General features: G+C 36.4%; 2 protein-coding genes across 18 annotated transcripts in view, besides 4 other annotated features; one reads left to right on the forward strand and one right to left on the reverse strand.

Moving 5' to 3' along the window:
- TRMT1L (tRNA methyltransferase 1L) overlaps positions 1-22,046 on the reverse strand; it is a 39,437-nt gene extending 17,391 nt beyond the window's left edge. The window contains exons 1-10 of one of the 4 annotated variants that reach the window (XM_047431291.1): positions 21,940-22,046; positions 16,334-16,444; positions 14,888-15,001; positions 11,691-11,755; positions 9,948-10,077; positions 8,415-8,538; positions 7,866-7,945; positions 4,482-4,731; positions 3,876-4,088; positions 2,115-2,305 (exon numbers count right to left, since the gene is read on the reverse strand). In XM_047431291.1, the coding sequence (XP_047287247.1) occupies positions 2,115-2,305; positions 3,876-4,088; positions 4,482-4,731; positions 7,866-7,945; positions 8,415-8,538; positions 9,948-10,077; positions 11,691-11,747 (1,045 nt within the window). In that variant the 5' untranslated portion in view covers positions 11,748-11,755; positions 14,888-15,001; positions 16,334-16,444; positions 21,940-22,046. The other 3 variants (NM_001202423.2, NM_030934.5, XM_047431292.1) reach the window with 3 other exon arrangements.
- Positions 20,550-21,455: an enhancer, noted in NCBI's record as "H3K27ac hESC enhancer chr1:185125173-185126078 (GRCh37/hg19 assembly coordinates)". NCBI's record gives its function as "activates a minimal SCP1, AML or CMV promoter by ChIP-STARR-seq in primed H9 embryonic stem cells {active_cell/tissue: H9 hESC(primed)}" and the evidence as "EXISTENCE:reporter gene assay evidence [ECO:0000049][PMID:30033119]".
- Positions 20,959-21,208: a silencer, noted in NCBI's record as "silent region_1644". NCBI's record gives its function as "represses an Ori minimal core promoter by ATAC-STARR-seq in GM12878 lymphoblastoid cells {active_cell/tissue: GM12878}" and the evidence as "EXISTENCE:reporter gene assay evidence [ECO:0000049][PMID:35858748]".
- Positions 21,299-21,408: an enhancer, noted in NCBI's record as "active region_2241". NCBI's record gives its function as "activates an Ori minimal core promoter by ATAC-STARR-seq in GM12878 lymphoblastoid cells {active_cell/tissue: GM12878}" and the evidence as "EXISTENCE:reporter gene assay evidence [ECO:0000049][PMID:35858748]".
- The window catches only part of SWT1 (SWT1 RNA endoribonuclease homolog), a 134,722-nt gene continuing 131,231 nt past the window's right edge, over positions 21,569-25,059 (forward strand). For 5 of the 14 annotated variants that reach the window (XM_005245271.3, NM_001105518.2, XM_047423246.1 and 2 more), the window contains exon 1: positions 21,569-21,673. The gene's annotated coding sequence lies outside the window, so the exon portion shown is untranslated. The other 9 variants (XM_005245273.2, XM_017001527.2, XM_047423249.1 and 6 more) reach the window with 5 other exon arrangements.
- Positions 21,949-22,068: a silencer, noted in NCBI's record as "silent region_1645". NCBI's record gives its function as "represses an Ori minimal core promoter by ATAC-STARR-seq in GM12878 lymphoblastoid cells {active_cell/tissue: GM12878}" and the evidence as "EXISTENCE:reporter gene assay evidence [ECO:0000049][PMID:35858748]".

The raw sequence follows: 25,059 nt of genomic DNA on the forward strand, positions 1-25,059 counted from the left end.
ATGGAAGAAAGGATAAATAAATGAAAGTATATAAGGGGAATATGACCATAGGAACCAAGGAGATTAAAAGGAATTATTAGACAACACTTAGCTCAACCCTATGTAAATAAAACAGAAATGCTAGGTGAATATTACTAAACCTTTAAGGAACACATAATTCCAATACTAGTTAAACTAGTTCTTAAGAACTAGTTTAAAAAAAAATCAGTTTTTCAATTCCTAAGAATTGAAAAAAGGGAACCATTCCAAATTATTTTTGAAGGGAGTAAACTGATAGATCAAAGCCCAACTAAAATTATGCTACAAAGGAAAACTATATACCATCTCATGAAACAAGAAAATCCTTTAAAAATTAGCAAATAAAATACAACAACATATTAAAAAAAAACCTGACAATAGTTTATTCTACAAAATCCAGTTTGGTTCTATATTGGAAACTTTTATTACAATTAATCAAATTAGTAAGCCTAAAGAGAAAAACCATATAATCATCTCCACAGATGCTGAAAATGCATTATGACAAAATTCAACATCTTGATAAAATACAATAAAAATGAAGTATTCTTCCTTAATGTGATAAATGATATGTATTGTAGATGAAAAGCCAGTATTATGCTTGAATCAGAAAGCACTAGAGGCTGGGTGCAGAGGCTCATGCCTGTAATCCCAGCACTTTGGGAGGATGCGGCGGGCAGATTACTACAGGTCAGGAGTTTCAGACTAGCCAGCAAACATGGTGAAACCCCGTCTCTACTAAAAATACAAAAAGTAGCCGGGCATGGTGGTGTGTGCCTATAGTCCCAGGTACTTGGGAGGCTGAGGCAGGAGAATTGCTTGAGCCCAGGAAGCAGAGGTTGAGTGGGCCAAGATTGTGCCACTGAACTCCAGCCTGGATAGAAGACAGAGCAAGACTCCATCTGAAAAAAAATAAAAAAATAGAAAGCGCTAGAGGAAACTAAAAGTAAGGAACATGACAGAATTTCCTCCATTACCACCACCAGTTAACATTATACTAAAGTACTTGCACAAATGAAAAGCATATCATATTTGTAGGAAGCTTCAAAAATCACAGTATCTATTCTCCCCAATTTAATGTCATCAAAATAATATGCCAACTGGGTTATTATTTACTTTTATATTAAGGGATTAACAAAAGAGCAATACAGGAACACTGAAAACAAAGAGCTTTGAGTAGGGATTGCCATCACAGATATTAAATGACACTGAAAAGCCTCTATAGTCAAAACAGTATGATAGACGTGTATGAAGAAATATCCAACCACTGGAACAGAACAGAAAATCTAGAAGCAAACTCAAATACATGTGGAAATTTAGTATAAGATAAAGAAGGTATTCTCAAATCAGTGGAGGAAAGGTGTACTATTCAATACAACCTAATCTACTTTGAATAATCCAGGAATAGGAAAGCTCTTTCTAACTACAGGCAAAATCCAGACTACATAAACATTCAATTAGCAACAAAAAACTTCTGCAACACAGATTAAAAAAAAAGTGACAAAATGAGAAAAAAATCTGCAACTTAACATAGTAAGTGCTAAACTCAAAAATTCATAAAATACCAAGAACCTAACAGAAAACAATAAGCAACTGTTTCCATGTCCCAGAACTGAAACAAACAGAAAGAGCTTTATGAAGGCATAAACTACAGCTTTTTCCTTGTTTCCCATCCCCAGGCCTGGCATATAGTAGAGGCTCAATAAATGTTTATTGAATGCATTTTATAACTGATGGCTTTTATACACAGCCAGAAACATGAAAATTATTTTTATAAAATTAATGATTTGTAACAGCCTGGAAAAAACGTAATCTGACTTATGTTCCTAAAATTAGTTGAGAGTGGAAACTAAGTTATTTCTAGATGTTTCGATAGAAGGCAGAGCTAGAAAGCATATATTGTACAGCATGAGTAAATAACTTTAATAAACTCACACGAATGTCTTGTCTGTTGACGAAAGGAAATCCAGTATAGGAAATAACAAAGTTAGCACTGTAATCTTTAAAATCAAAGGACAACAATATGTATAATTAGGTATGTGATAAAGGCTTATTCAGTGGAGGATTATAGATAAACATAATATATAACTTGAATTTACCTTCTACCATATTACCATCCTTCTGAAAAATTCTCTCTTCACACCACTGACAATGGATCAGGTATTGAATCTTCTTGGCTGTTTCATCTGCTGAAGTAGGTCCCCTCAAAACTCTCACAACTACCAACACAAAATGTTCCAGAGCCACTGCAAACAGTACTTCTATGCCTTTGTTGCATCGGGCTGCAGCTCTACAATAAATTTTTTCAAGTTATTTTGTGGGCTTATCATTTTCCCTTGTTTGGCATTATACTGACAATATTAACCTGGACAGTATACTATGGATAAGTTATGGGACATCAAGAAAAATTCAATTCTCAGTAGCAGTGCTTTTAAAAGATCATTACTGTAACTTTTACAGAAATTGAAACACAGGAAATAAAAGATGCTTGGGAGGGTCTTCAGTTTCTAGACATTTTCCCTTGCGATATCCTCTCAATAGGGCAATATTTTCTGGTTTTCAGTCATTTTCACTTTGTTTCTTATCATCACCACCACATTGCTTCCTTTTTATCTATTTTATTTCCTATAAAAGCTTCTTTCAAACAGTATCTATTTATTGAGTAATGACTATATGCAGGATAGTATGCTAGCTACTGAAAATTGAGTGAAAAAAGAACAGTCAAAGTCCTTTCCACCATTAATTTCACAGACTTTTTGGATTAAGCTCTACTATATACCATTTATGTACTCTGCAGTCATATACTACATTTAATTTATATATATTACTCTGAATTTGCTGATATTACATTATAGACATTTTTAAGTATGTGCAGTTAAGTCCTTAGCATGCATACAGTAAACATCAGTTTTCAGGTAATTAGAAACAACCCTGAAGGTCTATGAAGTCTAATAATCTGTATTTATCCTGAGGTAGAAATTTCTACTTAAATGCTCTGAAACTAGTATTGGGGCTGGCAAGTGAGCTGGCTGATTATCCATTATCTATATTCACAATATCCGTTTATATTATATTATTCTAGCATAATCTGCATATAGTAAGTGCTCAAAAAAAGTCATCCTTTTAAAAAATAACTGTTTTCAAATTCTGTTTGGAAATCCTGGTGAGAAATGGAGAGAACTTCCCATTTTGTAAGACCATTTTGCAGAATCAAGTTTGTAAGCCATCATTTTATTCAAACTATATAAATAAAGAAGATAAAACAGAATGGATATAAAAGAAATGACTGTTTCTTTCTGAGGCAGAGTCTCACTATGTTGCCCAGGCTGGAGTGCAGTGGAGCAACCTTGGCTCACTGCAGCATGTGGCTCCTGGGTTCAAGTGATTCTAGTGCCTCAACCTATAATCGTAGCTGTGATTACAGGTGTGTACCAACATGCCCAGCTAATTTTTGTATTTTTAGTAGAGACGGGGTTTCACCATGTTGGCCAGGAGTCTTGTTTCATCCTGGGCAACATGGTGAAAAAACAAAACAAAACAGTTTTTGCTTTTCCTTTCATATAGCTATCCTTTATCCTACATTGTTGAAATAAACTGGAAATTAACTTTCACTTTTACCTTTTCTTTCTTATACTTTATTTCAGTAACATTTTAATTGGAGAGTAAACTGAATATTTCAGGTATAAACTTTTAAATAAAATTACAACAGATACCACGTAAGATTAAAAACCAGTATTACAGATAAGGAATACAGAATTTATATTTTGTGCATATTTTGAATAAGGTAAGTACTTCTTGTAATATTATCTCTTTTTATCAAATACTGAAACACACTAAGTACACTGTTGGCAATTTGGTACCTTGCCACTGCAGCTACAACAATTCTGGCTGCTAGTTCCTTGTAATATTCAGTTCGGACAATGTTACATCCGTAGTGACGCCGGGCAACATGCTGTGCCTTGGCATATAAAGAACTGATATCTGTAGAAGTCACTGACACTATGCCAAGGTTTCTTATATTTCTGAATGCAGAATCTAGATAATTCACTGATGTTCCAAAAGGGTCTAGATGTCTAAAATCAGAAAGAATATAGACATTTTAAAGTCATATTAGTAACAAAAATTATACCACTGTAATTATTTCTAATTATAAAATTCCATGGATTTAAAAATACATTGCAAATATATTTTAAGTACATAATTCTGTTTTGAAATTAAGTAATAAAATGATAGTATGATGTATCAGACATGTAAAAATAAATTCGGGTTAGAGGAAAAGTCACATGCCCAGGCATTTTATTTCAAATACTAGAAAATTTTCATACTGCATACCTTAGGCCAATGTCAAAAAATGGCATTAATTTAAATAAATAAACAACAAAAAACTGTCTTAATTTTTAACTACTCCTCGTCCCCAAAATTTCAGATAAGTTTAGAAAGTGACACGGCAAGTCTTTTCTACTTACATGAAATCAAAAGATCTCAAATGCATCAGTACATTGGCATCCATTTTGGTCACCTTAATATTACCAAGATTTTTCTCTCCTTCTTCAAGAATATCATCACTCTTTTCCTTTTCCTTACTGTCCACCACCACTTTCAATTTGTTTAAATGGCAGTTTTCCTGAATCAGTGTCACAGAATTTTCATTCAAGTCATTGATTGTAACTTTGACTGCATTTCCAAGATGTTTTGCCCACTGTAATCCCATTATCCCTTAGGAAAAATGGGAAGAAAATGAGTTTTATAATTGTAATAATTTTAAAGAATAAAAATGGTATAACAACATTCAGTTTTATAAATAACAAATTATTTCAAAATTTAATGTTTTCATGAATCTTATTCCTTCTTACTACAAAGCTTCTCAAGAAAGGTTATAACTAAAAATCTGTCTAACAGATTTTAACTAATACTTCTTCTAAACCTATTTTATGATCCTTGTTCAAATAAAATCTCTATGTATGCTTTTTATTTTGTTGAATAGTGGAAAATGTTTTCTTTTTTGCTTTTTTTCTGACCATGGAATACTTTATACAAATGGGATTACTCTGCTTGAAGGGAGGATGGGAAGTTGGAATACCTCCTGCTGAAGTTTACCATCATGGACCAAAATATGAAAAACTTTTCTGGACCAACACTTTTCAAACACTGCACAATAGCATTGTTGTGAATTAAAAAAAAAAAAATTGTGGCCAGGTGAGATGGCTCACACCTGTAATCTCTGCACTTTGGGAGGCTGAGGCAGGTGGATCACTTGAGCCCAGGAGTTTGAGACCAGCTTGGGCAACATAGCAAATCCCTATCTCTACAGAAAAATACAAAAATTAGCTGGGCATGGTGGCGCATGCTTGTGGTCCCAGCTACTTTTGGGAGGCTGAGGTGGGAGGATCACCTCCTAGAGGTCCAGACTGAAGTGAGTCGAGATGGTGCCAAGACCCCATCTCAAAGCCGAGACCCTATCTCAAAAAAAAAAAAAAAACAACAAAAACAAAAACAAAAAAGCGAATGATTAGAGGAAGAATTCAGACCAAAAGGGCCCCTTTTCACAGTTTTTCCATATCTACTAGCTTAAAGTCATAAGGGACATTCATTACAAAATGGGAGATGGCAACACAAGCCCAGCCAACATAGATTAGTAAACCCCTTATGTACTGGAAATACTGACCATCTTCTCCATACACGTGTCTCATGAATGGAAAAATACCATGTGTTATGGACTTCACATATACGCATTTTTCATATTTTCACAAGCTTGTGAGGTAAGTTCTGACATCCTCATTTTAGGAATGGCAAAATGTGCAAAATGACTGCTCCAGACCTGATCTAAGTTTACAAAGGCACATTAAAAGAAGAGGCTGGAAATATATTCCTTAGATATTAGCTTTAATGACTTCAGATTTAAAAAAGAGTTAAGAGGCTGGGCGCGGTGGCTCACACATGTAATCCCAGCACTTTGGGAGGCTGGGGCGGGTGGATCACCTGAGGTCAGGAGTTCGAGACCAGCTTGGCCAACATGGCGAAGCCCTGTCTCTACTAAAAATACAAAAATCAGCCAGGCGTGGTGGTAGGCGCCTGTCATCCCAGCTACTTGGGAAGTTGAGGCAAGAGAATTGCTTGAACCCAGGAGGCGGAGGTTGCAGCAAGCTGAGATGGTACCACTGTACTCCAGCCTGGGTGACAGAGCGAAACTCTGTCTCAAAAGAGTAAAGAAAAACGGTGTATGGTGAAGAATACTGAGAAATAAATTTGGACAAGCAGGTTAGGATCAGATATGGAAGATATTAAATGTAGTCTGAGAAGTCTGGACTCCCGGCAATAAAGATGAATGACTTTTTTGATTGATAAATAACATTAATGTGGTGCTTCAGAGGAATAGCTGTTTAGCAGTAACAGGCAAGACAAACTGGAGGAGAGAAATGACTGGAAGCAAGGGTACTATTTAGAAGCTACTGCAATAGGCTTGCTATGAAATCATTAAATTGGTGGATATGGAATGGAAAATGTGAGTTATATTAGAAAAGAAAAATTAGAACAGACCTGGTGGCTGAGTAGATATGGGAAGAGTAACAGGAAAAGAAGGAGTAATAACATGATTCAAATTTCAAATCCAAGCGACTTGGGAAATAATCAGAAGCATCACCTCATCACTTTTACCATATTTATACTGAGATGGTACTAATGCTGATCATCATGGTAGTAGCAGTAGTCTCCTCTTTTAATAGATGAGCAAATTGAGGCACAATTTCCTGTGGTCATACAACTATCAAAGCGATAAAGCTGGGATTTGAACTCAGGCAGTCTGGTTCCACAGTCCATGCTTTTAACCACTACTTTTCCCTGAGGAGAGGAGTTTAGGAAGGAGAGCTAACTCATGCTTTCACTCCTTTGGCACAAACTCCCCAAAAGTGTACTCTTATAATCTTTATAAAGAAGGACCTGGATTGGGTACGGAGGCTTTTTAGAAATTTTCTACTGTTTCTATTATCTTTTCTCTACTATTAAGTCTTTTGAGAAGAATATTCTCAATGTTTAAAATTTCACTTTATTCCACTGTCTAAAGGCTAGGCAATGATCATCACAACACAAAAAAAGAGACACAACCAGACATCAGGTGCTGCCTGATTGCAGCAAACAAGTATTATTGCAAAAAAAAAAAAAAAAATTGTATCTGAATCTAATTAAATGACCAATTTACAAAAATACAGGAGATAGAAGAACATGTTTTATGAGCCATAACAATACAATCAGCAAAAATCTAGACTGCGGGAAACTCTATGGGTCAAAAGACATGTTAAGTCAACAAATAATTATCACACACACAGAAAATGATAGAAGGACCCATAGATTTAAAAGAGACTTAGACATACCAGACACCTGAAATACAGTTTTTGTCTGCATTCTGATTTGATTTTTAAAACATATTATGAGATAATTGGGCAAACAATTGATATTAAAGAATTATTCTTTATTTTTAAAGTATGATGACAGTATAGTGGTTTTATTTTTTAAAAATCTTTACCTTTTAGAGATCCAACTGAAATACTTACAGATGAAATGATGTATCTGTTATTTGTTTCAAATTAATGGATATCAAAAGATTAGGATATGAGGTATGAGGACAATGAGAAAACGACTGAGCATGAACCACTCATTTTTGAAGTAAGCGATGGATACACAGAGACTCACTTATTATACTCTAATATACATTTAAAATTTTTCACAATAAAAAATTAAAAATTTTGCCTTGGATCTTTAATTTTTTTACATCACTGCCCATATATATTTTCTAAGAAAAAATACTGTAAAATTGAATAAATAAAATGGGGTTCCAAAAAAGTGTCCTCACTTACCAGTGGCTCCAAAAGCATCTAGACATTCCAAAGGTTTTCGTTCCTCAGCCAAAGCAGCCAATGTACAGAATATTAGCTGCCTAGAAGGAAATCATAATCTGAAATAACTTTACCATGGCTTCACCATCATAGATTTTATTTCATTTAAGAATAGTGAACTGAAGTTCCTAGTTACTGTACAAACTATTTCAAAAGGAGACCTGAAAACATATTCTGAATTTAATACTATAAGAACTAAAAATATGTGAAATTAAACTATGAATCCAGTTGGGTTCTATTAACAAGTATTTATTTATTTATAAAGAAAACTTGCTCACAGAAGTACCAGCTTGTTCAGTAATTATATAAAGTTACGCCTATCTTATTCTCTGATAAAGACATCGGCTTGTTAGAAAAAAAGAAACAATTCTTCTGAGAAAAATGTTAAAACAGATGATTTTTATTCTGCACCTAGTTCTAAATTTTAATATATTAGAACATAAAGGTTAAGAGAAGGTACACTTATAATAATTTGAAACATCCCATAACCCTATTTTCAATTTATCTTACCGATTTAGTTTCATTTTGGGGTTAAAATAGGAATCTGTTTTCTGAGGTATAGAATAGTTGGGACAAACTTGTACATCCGTGTCTGCCTCTTTCAAAATTTCCTTAGGTGGTTTAGCAGTGGAAGCTAAGATGGAAAAAAGAAAAGATTTCCAGGGAAACACAAAATAATTCTAAACAAAAGATTTCCAAGAAAACACAAAATAATTGTAAACATCTAAAACAATAAATATACATTTTGAAAAATAACTTTATATTATTTTGTGTTAATGCAAACGGTTTGGCAGATGTAAACAAACCAAAACCAAAGAACTGATTTATTCAGCACTCTCTACAAAAGAGTAACACTCAGTTAAACATCTGATTAATGAAAGTTAATTTACTATCTTGACTGTCCAGCACATCAATACATCTGTATTATGATACCTAAGAACAATCACCCTAGGAAAGCACAAAATCCTAAAATACCTTTGTGGTTCATCAAACACTACATTGTTTGCTAAATATATTTCACTATGGTATAATTGTTAGAAAATGAGTAACTCCATATGGCTGCATTCCATTAGCTAGCATGGCTTACTAAGAATCACTCTATTTCCTGAACATGGGAGACTTCAGAATATTTTCTCATAATGATTTCAAGTCACAAATTACATTGAAATGGCTACAAAGTAATGAAAAAATGATTTTACATTTAGTATGTTAGAATCATTTAGCTATAAACTAATAAAATATTGATGTGTATATATGTGCATATGTTTTAAATATTTAAGAAATGAGATCCTTTATGTTTGGATTTCTTGATAACATTACAGTCGGAATGTTAACTAAATGGCAACTGTATCTTTCTTTCTAAAATGCAAAATAATAGTAACTTTCCCTAGCACTGTGTTACATACCCTTTTCTACCCGTGAGGAGGCATGTTGCATATCTCACAAGGTCAGACTTTCTCAACTTAGGCTCTGTGAGAAAATTATGCTTCATAGAAAAATAGTTCAGTGACTGTTTTTTTTTTCAATTCTTAAAGGAATGGTACGTAGTGCCATTCTGGACACAGAGGAGAGAAGTTATTCATTACATATAATACATGCTTTAGGCCATTAGTGCTTGATTTAATTCTTGAGAAGGGATCTCTAAGTAGTAACAAGCTATTAATAATTTCATATCACTATGAATAATAAGTCTTTATTTCACTGTATCTTTTTTTCTAGTGTTTTCCAACAATACATACATGACAGTTAAGGGTGTAAAAGCTGTCACTGGGAAAACAATTCTATAATCTTTCATTAAAATACCTGTAGTCACTTGAGTGTCACTTACTTTTTTCTACACCATTTATTAAATATATACATTGAGAATGTTAAAATGTTTTTGGAGACCTTACAGAAAGAAACCAAAAGCTGAAGTAATGGACTAGTGAACTAAATCATTTGGTTAAATCAGCATTATTTTATATTCCTGATGTCTGAAAATAATAACTGGACCATTATTTAAGGATTTACATATTAATATGTTAATGAGATTGCTCAACTTACCTGCAATATAACTAGATTTAGTCTCTCCTTTATTCATGTGGCGCCTAACATGTCCTAGCATATCAGTTCTTCTGGTGATTGTTGCTGAACAAATGATACAATGATAATGGGCTCCCATTTTACTGGTTATCTATCAAACAGAGTATTTAATTTAAATAAGTTGCTAAGACAATGAAACAGAAGTATATGTTTGCAAATTTAAGTACATTAGTGTCTTGGATTTAATGGTATAGAAGATAATTTTAATTTTGCCATGTGACTTTGAAGTATCTTAACTTCCTTACCTGCATTTACATATACTTTTAAAACTTACTTTACAATAGGCCAGAAGGTTAATTTCCTAGCTTTTCTCATTCATTCCAATCAGAAAATAATTGTATTTTCTATAGGTTGCATTTAAAAATGGTGTAATGTTAGGAGTGGTGTGCTGGTAAATGCTTATTAACTGGCTCTCCAGGAAAATAAAGCCCTGATTTGTAGTATTTGCAGATTTCTGTGGCATAAATACTCTGCTATAGCCAATTTCAAGCTACAACTGTCATAGATTTTAAGCTATCAATGTAACATCACTGAATGTGAATTTAGGAAAAGATGTGCATTATTACACCATTACAGAGCACTGCCACCCAGCAGACATAACAGATGTAAATAACTGTAAGTGCACAGATAATATTAAAATACAGGAGAACAATGATATGAAGTGAACATTCATTACCTTTGTTTTTTAATATAACTCATTCATTTTTAGGTTTATATAACTTAATTTTTAATGGAGGCCATACTAAACAACCAGCTTGAAAGATTTCTGGAAATTTGAGCCAGCTCCAGTACCCCACTGAATGTTAGAGACATAATTAGAAGCGTACTTATCCGAGTAAAAAAATTTTCACTTCATAATTTCTCATTTAGCTGAGAACAAAAGACTGCTCCAATGGCTCTTTCCTAGTTTTGATGCCTTTTACTCTTAGTGCTGCTACCTCCTTTTTACTTGGACCCTTACAGCAAATAGAAAATAGTGAAGCACATTACCCAAGGTTCCTTGTGGTACTGTGATTATCATATTCAAAATATCTTAGACTAGGCTGATGGACCAGGTACTGTTTTGACTACTACTTACAGAATATTTTCTTTTTTGTCAACACTATACTGCTTTTAGTGGCTCAAAAGAAAATGTAATAATGGGAACTCATTACGCCAATATGCATTCAGGATAGTGTCACTAAAAAATTTTATAGTTTGTATTCCCCTTAGGTCAAATCTACCCTAAAAATAAAACACATGTATTTTTTAAAAAGTTACTAAGATTTCTGAAAGTTTCTTGATTCTCTAAGATTGAACTCAAAAGGAAGGACATGGGGAAGATGAATTAAATCAAAACATACTAAGATATTTACTAAATCACAGAAATTGAAGCTCCTATTCCATGACCGAAATTTTAAGAGAAAAAACTACTCTCTAAATTTTCCATTTCAAAATTAGTAAATGAGTTAATTTTCATTTTGAACACAAAGGAGCAATTTATCTGACTTAAACTAAAAACTGTAAAATGAGAACTTCAATATAACAATTATTTTTTTTCATACATTTCATAGTTTTCCCATTATGATAATCTGAAAGGACTCAGAGAATTTTAAAGTAAACCACACTGCTGAACATACACATTTTAGTTTCACAGTAAGTAAAAATTATGCTTTCTTTAAAAAGGACTAAATTTAAAAATAAAAAAATCTAATATCTGATCACCTGTTCTCCAATAATGTTTGGTTTCACTGGTCGACAAGGTAAGTGACAGATGCACATCCTGTAACCTAAAATAAAGAATGGCTGGTTATCATACATTGTTCATTAAATATTCAGTTATCAAAAATTATAAGCAAGTTTTATTTTATAAGAATTGGTATTACCCTTACATTTGTAATGTCATAATTACTCAAATGAGATTGCTTTAGTTTATACAATTATTATACATGAGATATATGTGTATGCATATATACATATGTATATGTTATCTATATACACAAATACAGAGGGATCCAGGTTTGAATTCTAGTTCCGCCATGACTATCTGTTTTATCTTGGATTAGTCATTTAGCATCTTTGGGATTCAGCTTTATCCTATTCTCTGCCACCTTGACTTTTTCTTAGGCTTCACCTTTACCTCATGCTATTGATATATTTGCCATTATACAGACCCTTCTTCATCTATGACATGGTACTATCTTGGTTTTCTTCCCACCTTTCTTCATCTTCTTTACAGATCCTCTTCCTTCTCTCATGCCCTAAAATGTAGAAATTCCATAGGCTTGGGTGGCTAAGTGATTTTTTTTCTCATTTCCTTGGCAACTTAGCTCCTTTCACAATTCCAATTAAAGGAATCCCAAATTAAAGCTCTAGGTACTAATTCATTCCTAAGAGCCAGATTCCTATTTCTAATTGCCTATTAAGGATATGTAACTGATTATCTAGTCAGCATCTCAAAACCTACTTGTCAAGACTAAACTGGTAATTTATCTTACATTAGGTCTCTTTACTTTTTTTGAATGATAATGCCTTACAGTTGCTCTTAACTCAAAGCCTGTTAAGTCATCTCTAATGCATTTTTCTTATACCTTAGATTCGATCATTTCTTACTTGTATATGCTGAAGTGCTCCAAGATTTAGTCCTGGATGACTTCTTTTTTCCATCAATATGTATTCTTTTAGTTACTTATCTGATCTTATGGCTTTAAATACCATGTGTCTTCTGACAACTCCCAAATGCATATCTTTAGCCCCACATTCTTCCTGAACTCCAGATTCATATAACCTATGGGCTACTTGACATCTCCACTTAGATGCATCTCACCCTTTAAATGCCCAAATTTCTGGTTCCGGCCTTCTTTCCCACACTTGGTCCTAATGCACTGTTCTCCAGCTCAGTAAAGGCCAACTCCATTTCTCTACTTGCTCAAGTCCCAAACCCAAGCATTCTTGGCTCTTTCTCTCACACCTCACATCCATTCCTTCGGCAGATTTGGTTGCTTCTACCTTCAATTTTACGTCAACTACTTTGAAACCTGCTCACTGAGACAAAAACTATCATATCTTCACCATCTACCAGAGCAATACCATGTGAAAGAACCCAATAGCCTAATGTACATGAGAGAACCACATCCATGAGTAAGTAAAGAAATATCACAAGAAAATATTTAAGAAAAGAGAATAACTTGGAGGGAGACCAAACCTAAAGGCTAAACAATGACCTAAGTAAAGAATATGAGAGATCCTTTTAATTGAAATGAGACCTTTATTTTCCTAAGAAGTCAGTATGGTTTATCATACATTCTTATATAGAACTAAACTTAAAAGACAAGATGGTCCTTAAATTAGCATCTAATTCCCCTTTCCCTAAATAACTAATGATAATCTTTTTAGTAGTACTACTAAGAAAATAGTTCCAGCATAGTTCCGACTTCTTTTCTGGATGTCTCTTACTAGCTGCTTTATCAAGGCTGGTTGACACTCCAACCATATTTTACAATTTCTGTGCTCACATAATCATATACAAATATAAATGTATATATGTTTAAGATTGATACTTAGGTTTCTTTTGAGGGTGGGACTTTTTGTTTTATCCAAATGGAATATTATAAAATCTTCCCTATAAATTGCTGTTTTCATTAGTAGTTGACCATGGAAATACTTCTAAGTTAGCTGGTATATATCTAATATACTCATTTCAATGGCTACATAATAATATTTCATGGTATGTATATACCATAATTTATTCAATCATCTCTTTTAATTCCAAGTTTTTGTTACTAAGTAAATATTGCAATGAATATCCTTGTACATTTATCCGTGCCTGTTGATTCTTTTACTTCCTCTTTTTTTTTTTTTTTTAAGAAACAGAGTCTCACTCTGTTGCCCAGGCTGGAATACAGTGGCACAATTATGGCACTGCAGCCTCAAGCTTCTGGACTCAAGCAGTCCTACCACCTGAGCCTCTCTAGCAGTTGCAACTACAGGCACAGGCCACCTCGCCTGGCTAATTTTTTCACTTTTTTATAGAGACAGGGTCTTACTATGTTGCTCAGGCTGGTCTTGAACTCATGGCCTCAAGTGATCTTCCTGCCTCAGCTTCCCAAAGTGCTGAGATTACAGGTATGAGCCACTGTGTCCAACCTCAATTCTTTTACTTCTAAGGCACTCCTAGGAGAGGAACTGCATGGTGGATGGATATGCGTATTTTTAATTTTAAAAGATGTTGTCAGATGTTGGGAAAATTATAGCATTTTCCCAAAAATGCTATAATAATTCATATAATTCACTTAGGAAGCCCTTTAACTTGAAAAGTTCTTGTTTTCTGTCCTTCGATTTTATTCTTTTCATGATGAGTCCTCTTGTTGAACTTATTCCCTCAAATTGTGTCATTTTTATCATGATTATAATTGAAATATTTGTTTGTTTCCATTTATCTGAAGTAGAAAATGGCTATGATTTCTGAATTATCTTGTATCCCACCATTCTGAATTCTCTTAACTCCAGTAGTTTTTTTAAGCCATCAGCAGAAAGAGATATTATCTTGTATTTTCCAATATTCATACAAATTATTTTATTTTCTTATTTTACTACATGTACTATACCTTCCAAAATATGTGTAAAATAAAAGGAAAACTTATTAAAACATTGTTCAAGAAGCAAAATGGACTCCCAGGGTCAGAGTACTCAGTATACAACAGATGCATAATAAATGTTTGCTCAACTAAACTGTGTCATATAGATCTCTACTGCCTATAAAGCTATATGGTGTTTTATTAAATACATTAGAAATGAGGGCATTAAACCCCTCACATTTTAAACTGAAAATATTTGATTATACTCATGATAAAAATGCCAAAACTGGTAATAAATGTTGAATTTCATATATATTACTTCTTTGCAAGCACAAAAATACTAACCTTCAAATTCAACTGAGACTTTCCAGTGTAAATTCTGGAGGTGACGACGAAGCTTATGGCTATTACAAGCTCTGAATTTTTCCTTAGGGCACAATGGACAAGCCTGTCTGTTGCCTTAAAAAGAAAAAAGAATCAATAAACAACAGAATATTCTAGTTATTAATGCCTGGATTCAACTACAAAGAGGTTAATGGGGGCTCCCCCTCCTACTTCTTAAAGTCTTTCTTAACTTTAGGGAGAAGTCATTATTCTTGACCCAGGAGACAGTTAACAGTAATTGTTGCAGCACATGATCAGTGATTGTTTTTTCACCCTAAAATTTCCCTCTCTGTAGCTAGTGGATGCATTTGTCGTTACTGGGAACAAAGGTTGAAGAAGTGATAAACTGTATGACATCCTTCCGGCCAAATTTTCTGCCACTGAGAGCATCACTCTGTATTTTGGACAGCTGAAAGGACAGCAGTTACACTCCCAAAAGGACAGGGATTGGACAAAGAGCAAAAGTATGTGCTGTGGTATTCCTCTACTAAACTGGCAACAACAAAAACAGTTAACATGTGGAGTTAGAAAAATGGAAGAAGGAAGTGGAAGGAATAGATGGGATTTGATATAACCGCTGTTCTGAGACGGGGCGCATAGTTACAGCCACCGTATCCATTACTGAATTTACAAGTTCTGCCTTCTTTATTAACATATTCTCAAAAAGATTATGTATCATAAAAATGTCTTATTTAATTAGAAATATAATGTATCTCAAATAAAAACTTTGATAGTATAGATGAAAGAATTAAATTTCAAATTCAGGTTTAAAGCAATAAAATATACAGCAAGAATCATTAATAACTCATTTAGTAATTTTTTTCTTTTTTCTCTTATACCTACATACCTGTCAGCTCATATTAATAATTTTTAACCCAACAAATATCTTTCACATACAGTACAATAGAGTATAGGTACAATTTTTATTTTTACACTGTCTACTTCAAAAAAACCACGCAGTCAGCGATCTTGAGGATACAAACCAAACACTAAGGAGAGTAGAGCAGAAAGAGAGCAGTGTGGGGCACTGATAACGTGGAACTCTCATACCAGCCCTAAATTGCCTATCTTGGGACTTCATTTACCTGACAGAATATTAACCTCTTAAGACACTGTTTTTTGGGACCTCTGTTACTTGTAGCCAAATGCCATTCCTAACTTGCCGAATAGACAGCCCCTAGACATCCGTGAAATTATAATTTTCTTGAGGAGTTGTAAAATAACTTATTTCCATAGCAACTTTGCACATAAGCGGTTGCCAATTTCCTGAATAAAAAACTGTATTTTACCACTGTTCTAGTTCAGTAAGAATAAACAAGTCTACTCTTACCAAACTTATTTTTGTGAATTGAAAGATGATAAATTATTAGAAACTAAGAAAAAAAAAAAACCCAAACATGGAAATACCTGCATCAAGATTATCTGAGTTCAATGAGCTGGCAGAGTCAAAATTTCCATCAGTTACAAAAGCTAAATTCTCTAGATCAGCAAGCTGCCTTTGAATTGAGATGTGTCTCTCTGAAAAAAAAAATTGAGAAGATTATGCTTTAACAGTTTGTATTCTAGTTCCATTTTTATTGATCACATCGTATAGAAGTTTATTTCCTATAACACAGTGTTATGGACCTAGATGGGGAATACTGCCACAACTCGGTTTATAAAATAACAAGTGTGCTTTAGAATGAAAAGTTGGGGGGAGACCCCACTGTATAAACTTAGTTTTAAAATTTTATCTAATTAGTCAAAATAATTCTATGAAAAATGTTTCTGTCCTATACAAAATACTGAAGGAAACGTTAAGTCATGTTTTCTATCTTCAAAGAACTTTCAATCAGGTGGGAGAAGGCAATATGTCAACTTCTAACTATCATATGAGATAGGATGAAATGAACACTATTAAGTAGAGATTTGCTAACTGGCCTCATGAACTGAAGTAACCTCATGAACAAATCCATGTGTAGAAAACATACAACCATGCCACCCCACCCTTGGCTGGAATGTGGTATGTTTGGGGGGATGGAGTCAGTAGAAGTATGTGCAGCTGAAGATGCAGTACAGACCAAGGAAAACATAAATTCTACGCAAGTTAGTTTGAACTTTATTCTTCAAATAATGGTAAGTCTCTGCAGGTTTTTGAGGAAGTGAATTATACGATCTGAATGAGTTTCAGGAGGCTATCTCTGCCAGTAATACCAAAGATCAGTAACAGAGAAAATTAGCAATGGGAAGGGACAGAATAGAAGGTTAAAAAAATAAGCAACAGAACTTGGGATATGAGAAGTAAAGGTGAAGGATAAAATCAAAGATGATTCCAAGATTTTGAGTTTATGTGGTTGAGAATAATGGTATATTAAGCAAACAAGACAGAAGAAACTCTTATGGCAGAAAGGAAGGGGAAAAGAGAAAGGAAAATTTAGTTTTTGACATGGTGTGTTTGATGTACTACTGGTACAGTATTCCAGCAATAATGTATAATAGGCAGCTGGCAATTTGTTTTTGGAGCTCAGGAGGGATTCTAGAGATACAAATCGTAAGTAACACATTAGGTGAAACTATGAGAATAAATAAGAAAGCCTAAGAAAAAAAGTGTGAAAAATAAGAGAAAAAGCCAAGACCCAGTCTTACCTAGTTATGACTGATTTCAAACAACCAACTAGGCTATGTAAAATTAATTTTAAAATGTGATTTATATTTTAATTCTAATGCATTTCAAATTTCTCAATCATTACATATTTGTCCCACTAATGCATTTTCAGGTTTCTCAAGCATTACACACTCTTCAAATTAAATTAAATTTGGAAATACATGAATAAGTCTAAAATAAGTTTAACATGTTCTGACTGGGGTGGGTAGGGGATACATTCCCTACCTGTTGCTGAACCCGCTACTGATTATTATAGATAGATATAATCTGGTAGTGAGGTATGAGAGATGTAGATATTTATAAGAAAAATTAAGTAGAAGGAATCAGGAATGTAGATTCAGAAAGAATAAATGGTAAGGGGAATCAAGGTAATGCAGAAGCCAAGGGAGAAGAGTCTATAAACGCAAAACGTTCAACACTGAATATCACAAACAGTTGTAGAGATCAAGAAAGCACATCTGGTGACCTTTAAGAAAACAGGTTCAGGGAGGTGTTTCAGAGTAGAAACAGAATTGGAAGGGGAAAGGAAATACAGAAAATTAGGTTTTTCTTTTTTTGAGAAGTTTGACGGTATAAAAAAGGAAATGAATCAGACTGTAACTTGCTTTTTTTTAAGTATGGGGAACCTGAATATATGTGCATTCCAAGAGAAAGGAACAATTACAAAGTGGGGACTGAATATATATTAAGATTAGGAGAAACTGATATGTAAAGAGCCCAAGGAGACAGGAGATGGTGGGATAAACCACAGGGCTCTCTAATATTATGTTATTAGGTTATACAATTTAAAACCTTGAGACTTTAAAATTCAATTCTTGATATTAGCACCTTCTTGACTACTCCTCTCCGAGCTTCACTATCAGTTCGTTTACCCATTTGTATAATTTGTGTCCTTGTTCGCTTTCCCCACAAATAATCAACAGAAGACAAGGCCTATTTCTTGTTCATCTTTCTGATGGCTAAGTGCCTAATGCAGTAGCTTGCAGATAGGAGGCACTAAAGTTTGTTAAACAAGAAGTTAAAAAAATTGTTAGACTTTTTGGATGCAGTAGCACACTGTGTCAATAATTTTGGAATCCAATTCAGCACTATCAGACACTCCTGCTCAAATTTATTAAAAGGTAATTTTTCATATTATTATTATTTAAAGATGGGTCTTGCTCTGTCACCCAGCCTCCATGGAATGTAGTGGCTCAATCATAGCTCACTGCAGCCTCAAACTCCTGGGCTCAAGCAATCCTCCTGCCTCAGCCTCCTGAGTAGCTGGGAGTATAGGCTGGTGCCTGGTTATTCACCTCATTTTTAAAGAAGCAACAAACAATATTGGTTAATTTCCTATATCAGATACTGGTCAAATGAGTTATAATGAGATATAATTTCTATAAACAGGTAAAACTTCTTCATGTTTCATAAAAATCTTTTGCTAGGTCAGACAGCAATATTCCAGAAATGAATCCATGTGTACAAACTAACCTATCTAATTTGTAACCATAAAGGCTTTTGGTTCCAGAGTTCAAAGATCTGTGTATGTAAAACAAGATAAACAGCAATCAATAAAGACGTGCCTATTGAAATTATTCTATTAAATAGCACAAAATAAGAGAAAGGAGCTTGGTTAAGTTAGAAAACTAAAAATCCTGTGGTCTACTACTGAAGAAACTCTTGAAGATCTGTTTAAAAATGCATGATATGCCTATAAACATCTCTGAAATCACCTTCTGGTTTAAGATAGTGCGTATCAGACAATCTGTATGCAAAATACTCAATCTGCTTTTTGTAACACACTATTAATCCAGAAGTCAACAGGCAAACTTCTTGTTAAATTAGATGTCTCCAAGATGCTAGGAGGGTCTTTTACAACTTATTCTATTACTTTTTCCTCAATTTTCAATTCTATTTCAGATAGGCTATCTTCATCTTACCTAGTTATGACTGATTTCAAAGGACTAACTAGATCAACTAAAAATAATGTTTAAAATGTGATTAATATATGTATTAGTTCTAATGCATTTCAGACTTCTCAATCATTACATATTTGTCCTACTAATGCATTTTCAGTTTCCCATATAGTATACCTTCTTCAAATTACATATTTGTAAATTTTGGAATATATAGATAAGTCTTTTCTATGTTTAACATATTTTTGATGGTGAGGAGGTAGAGAATGCATGCATTTCCCAAAGCTGCTGAACCACTTCTGACTAATATAAACAAATACAACTTCGAAGTGAGGTAGGAGGCTACTTAGGAGGGTGGAACCCTCTCAGCTCCCCATGCCTCCCCGATCCCTACCCACTGTAGTTGAAGAAACAACTGGCCTTATTTTGTACCTACAAGCTCTGATCTTATATAATGAGAAGGGGCTTACCTGAAGCATTCTGACTTTTGTCTTTCCTGTGATTAGCCCTACTCTGAAATCTATAACAATTTGTATGTTGTTTCAAAACTGCAAAATAATCCTATCTATAACTATCTAACCTTTTATAAATATTAAACTCAAAACTGGCCTAGAAGTAGAAAAAATAATGAATTAAAGATTATTTTAAGTTCCAATTCAGAAAGCACATAAAGGTCAACTTATGACCACAAACTAAATGTTAAAAGAACTTAAATTATGTCTTTCTTAGACCTTACATTTTAAAATGTTAGAAGATCCTTAAGAAAGTGTTACTCATCAGTCTTTTAAATTCCTATATGGTCCAATAAACCACCACTTAGAAAACATGCAGGCACATTCAGAAGCACAATAATATGGGCCATTAATTCTCAACAGTCTATTTCTGATGGAATGGAGTACAAAACTCAATTGGTATTTATGTATGGGGGAAAACATCCGTAAATTTAGTCGACTCTTTCCTAAACTACTACTCAGCCTCAAAATCTTTTCGGAGGCAAGCTGCTAGCGGGGGAAAAGAAAACTGAAATGAGAAAAACTCATCTCCTTGTGGCTGTCGAAGCAGAAAAGCTAGTTGACAGTAATGGTTTAGAAATGTTGGCAGCTAGGATCTACTACCGTAAACAGGTTGCCTCGGTTACTATGTCACATTTGAAAGAACTTAGTTAACCATGGCAGACTGGACTGCGGGAAACTACCAAATTATGTGTAACTTCCTATTTTTGTACCTTAAAAAGACTCCCTTTTAAGAAAAAGCCCTTAACCTCATTATTTCCTTCTATCTGCAGCATTCCTGCTCTCCGCATATCCCTCACCGTGACATCCTCGAGGCTTATGAAGATGCCGTCTCCCATTCTGTAACCCTGCTTTAGCCGCTACACGGGCCCCTCTTTCCTCCCCACCATTTTCCTAAACCTGCCTTGCCCCATAAAAACCATCCCGGTGAAGGGCCTCCCCTACTTCCCAGCAAGGCGCACTTTCTCTCTTCTGCAGCAGAAAGATCTGGGCCTTCTGCACTTACTGCTTTTAGCCTCCTCAGGGGCAGAGGCTAGGGACGGGGACAGGGCCGGAGCCTGGGCCAGGGCAGGGGCTGGGGCTGGAGCCGAGGCCGGAGTCGGAGCCGAGTCCAGAGCCGAATCCGGGGCCGGAGCTGGGACCCCAGCCGAGTCCCGGGCCGGGGTCGGGACCTGGACCTGGGCCACCTCCACCTCCTCCTTCTCCAGGGGCAGCAGCTCCTCCTCCGCCATATTCTCCATAGTTACCGCCTCCGTGCCAAGCCCGCCCGGGGACCCGGAGCGGGGCTCACGGCGGGGTCAGAGAACTGACGTGAATGCCCACAGGGCTGGATCCAAGGAGTGGGGAAGCAAGTGGGGAGGGCGGGATGCGTGCAACAGACAAAAGATGAAGAACCAGTGACCAAATCCTGTTAGTAGAAAACAGAAAGCCAGAGGCAGCGATTCCAGATGCCCGTCCGCTTCCCTTTCCCCGAGGCGTTACGACGCCACCACAAACTGCGCAGAAGCGTACTGGGGACGGCGTCCAATTGGGTAAGAGGGTTCGGTTTCTACGGTGCGTCTCCGGCCCACCGGCCAACCACCAAACCGAACAAAGACTACAGCACCCAGGATACACTGCGCAGTCTGGGGGCGGGGCCGGAGTTCAAGCCTCGGAGGAAGTAAATGCAAATCTAAGCGAGCGCTGTGGGGCGGTGAGTAGGTAGTGCGGATGCGGGCGCAGAACTACGTTTCCCAGCAGGCATACAGTTGGTGGGGCGGGGTGTGTGTGTGTGTTGGGAGGCGGGGGTCCCTCTCCTTTGGCTTGGGGCTCCGGAGTTGCCACTGCCGCCGGCGCTGGTAAGGTAGGAACTGCGGGGTGCGTTGACGTTTTGCTGGGCAGGTTCCCCCTCGTCCCCCGCCCCAAGTATACTGGCGGGCGGGCGGCCGGCCGGACTGGGGACTCAGGAGTCACACGGACCTGGGCGGGGCGACTCTGTGGGCGGGTCCGGGGACGAGCCAGCTCCGTGGAGGGTGTGGTTCTGGCCCGGCTTGCCTCCGGGGCTGCCCCTTGCCCGGTGTTGGGGTCTGGTCGGTTCGTGCGGAGCCCGCGGGCCCGCGGCGGTTTACTAGCAGCTGACGAGCTTGCCTGTCCATCCAGCTGACTTGGAATTAGGGTCTGTTCTTCATTTCGCACCCTCACCTACACCGTGACCCGAACACTCTTTTCCTTTGTTTTTATTTTTGCTTTAGTCTTCATGTTGCCAGTATCAGCAGTTCTGCGGTGTGGCCAGTGGATAGAAATTAGTTGTTTTGCTCTATTTTGCTTTGTTTTCAGGCTTTTAATAACCAGAGCTCTGAGTGGGTAGAGCTTCGGGGCATTTAATTTTGATGCGTTTCAGATCCCCAAAACATATGCTAGCGAGTCCCCTGTCCCCCGTACTTCTCTCCCCTTCACTCTTAGTGCCTACTTGACATTCGAGCCTTTCTTGTTTCTTTCTTCTGTCCCCCCGCGATAAATCCACTGGGACAGAAAGGAGAAAAACGTGAACTTTCTGGCTGCCCTGCTTGGGCTTGGTCCGAACCTTCTAGGCATCAGGGCAGGAGAGGGAAGCCCAATTTAGTCTCAAGAACAAGACGCGCGCTTCCAGTTAGCTTTTCTTAGTTAATTAAGTTGATAAACGCCAATCTTCTTGGTCTATTTGTTTCCTACTTGTTTCAGAACCCCGGGGAAGAGATAGCATGATTATTTGGCACTTTGAAGCACTAACTGGAAATTAACTCCTCCCCCTATAGTTAAGAAGTATATATCTGGAGGGGTGTGTGTGTGTGTTTAACCTCTCCCCAGTTTAATGGGAACAGATTATCCCTGTGGAGCTTCTGTGAGTTATAGTCCTAAATCCCTTTTACTGATCGTCCCGTACAGCTTTTATCTAGTATTCCTGAATGTGTAGTTGACTCATGGCTCAACAGTCAATTAAAAATGGGATAACACTGACTATAACTTACAGAAATGCTAACTATATCTGTGCATCATCCAATAATTCTTGTTCTCATTTCTTTTTTTTTTTTTTACTGTCGTTCATGATGATTTTTTATTTCTAAATGACTAGATGGTTAACTGAAAGCTAGATTCAGTATGTTAATGTCATTTAACACCAGCTGGAAACCAGATTAAAAGGGTCAGATTTTAGTGTCTGGATTCTGTGGGAATTTTTGTAAGAATTTCTAAGCATGGTCTGTGCTTGTAAGACATCCTGAAGAAGGAATCGTCAATGTTTGAAGAATTAAATAATGTTATTCATCTATTGCTACTGCATAAGTTATACCAAAACATAGTAGCTTAAAACAACAGTAAACATTTATTACTCCACAGTTTCTGTGGGTCAGGAACTCAGAAATGACTTTCTGGGTTGATCTGGCTTTGGGTCTCCTGAGGTTGCAGTGAAGATATGTGCCAGGGCTGCTGTCATGTCACTTGATTAGGGGTGCAGGATCATCAGCTTCAAAGGTAACACACTCACATGCCTGGCTGTTAGTTGGTTCTGGTTGTTGGCAAGATGCCAGTAGTTCTTCCCTTGCGAGCCTTTCCATGGGCTGTTTGAGTGTCCTCATGACACTCTGACTTTCCCTAGAGTGAGCAGTCCAAGACAGAACAAGGCAGACGTCATGATATCTTATATGATTTAGCCACATACCACTATGTAGCAGTAATATCTTATTGATTACACAGGTCAGCCTTATTCATTGTGGTAGCAGATTACATTAAGTGCATGATTACCAAGCATCAGGAATCATCAGGAGCCATCTTGAAGACTGGCCAGCACATGAAGTCTCCCCTCATTTATGTTTTGATTTGCATAAAATCAATAGGAATTTCACACTAGTATGAATATACAACATTTGTCCGAATAAACATAAACATAAGTGTTTTTCTGGGATAGTCCACAATACTGTCATCCACTAACAGTATTGACTTGGTCCACAGCAGGGCTGGAAAAGTGAGACGGGGATGGGAGGTGGACAGAGGAACTACAGTGAGTGAATTGGAAGTGGTTCAGAATGAAAGAGTTAATATTCCAAGGAAGAAGAATTCACTCATTTATTCACTCAGTAGGCATTTATGAGCACCTAAGTTTTTAATACGGCACACTCAAGGAGCTCAGTGTCTAGTAGAAAGACAACCATACAAGCAAGTATGTATGTAGACATTACTGTGTACCAACCTATGCAAGATGTATATGTACATATATATATGTATTTTAATATTTTTTTATATTTTTTTAAATTTTTGAGATGGAGTTTCGCACTTGTCACCCAGGCTGGAGTGCAGTGGCACAATCTTACTCACTACAACCTCTGCCTCCCAGGTTCAAGCGATTCACCTCCCTCAGCCTCCTGAGTAGCTGGGATTACAGGCATGCACCACCACACCTGGTTAATTTTGTATTTTTAGTAGAGATGAGGTTTCATGATGTTGGCCATGCTGGTCTTGAACTCCTGACCTCAGGTGATCCGCCTGTCTCGGCCTCCCAAAGTATTGGGATTACAGTGAGCCGTGGTGCCCAGCCACAAGATATATTTTACATCCATTGTTTCAGTACCTCAAAAACCCTGTGGGATGGGTTATCTATTTTACAAGTAATGACACAAAGACTTAAAAAAAGCATGTGATTTGCCAAAGTCTTGTTCAATGAATGACTGAAGGTATTTTGGGAAAATGAAACTTATGACTAATTGGCTTTGAAGTGTGGGTGGTGAAGAATATAGCAGTCCTGGAGGCAGTTGAAAATGGTGATCTGATGCTTAAGTGAGAAGTCAGGGATCAAGGCATGGTTTGAGACTCATTCCTGGAAAGGTGATAGATGAAGCTGAAGGAGAGGAGTGGGTAATTTTGAAGGAGAATGAAAGTGAAGAAAAGTGGAATAATGAGAGAATCTTGTCATATTGGGAATGGTTAAAAAGTAGTAATCATAGTGCTGGGAGTGGTCACTCACACCTGTAATCCCAGCACTTTGGGAGGCGGGTGGATAACAAGGTCAGGAGGTCGAGACCAGCCTGACCAACATGGTGAAACCCTGTCTCTACTAAAAATACAAAA

Source organism: Homo sapiens, chromosome 1 (genome assembly GCF_000001405.40).
Source record: "Homo sapiens chromosome 1, GRCh38.p14 Primary Assembly".
In the NCBI taxonomy this organism is placed as follows: domain Eukaryota; kingdom Metazoa; phylum Chordata; class Mammalia; order Primates; family Hominidae; genus Homo; species Homo sapiens.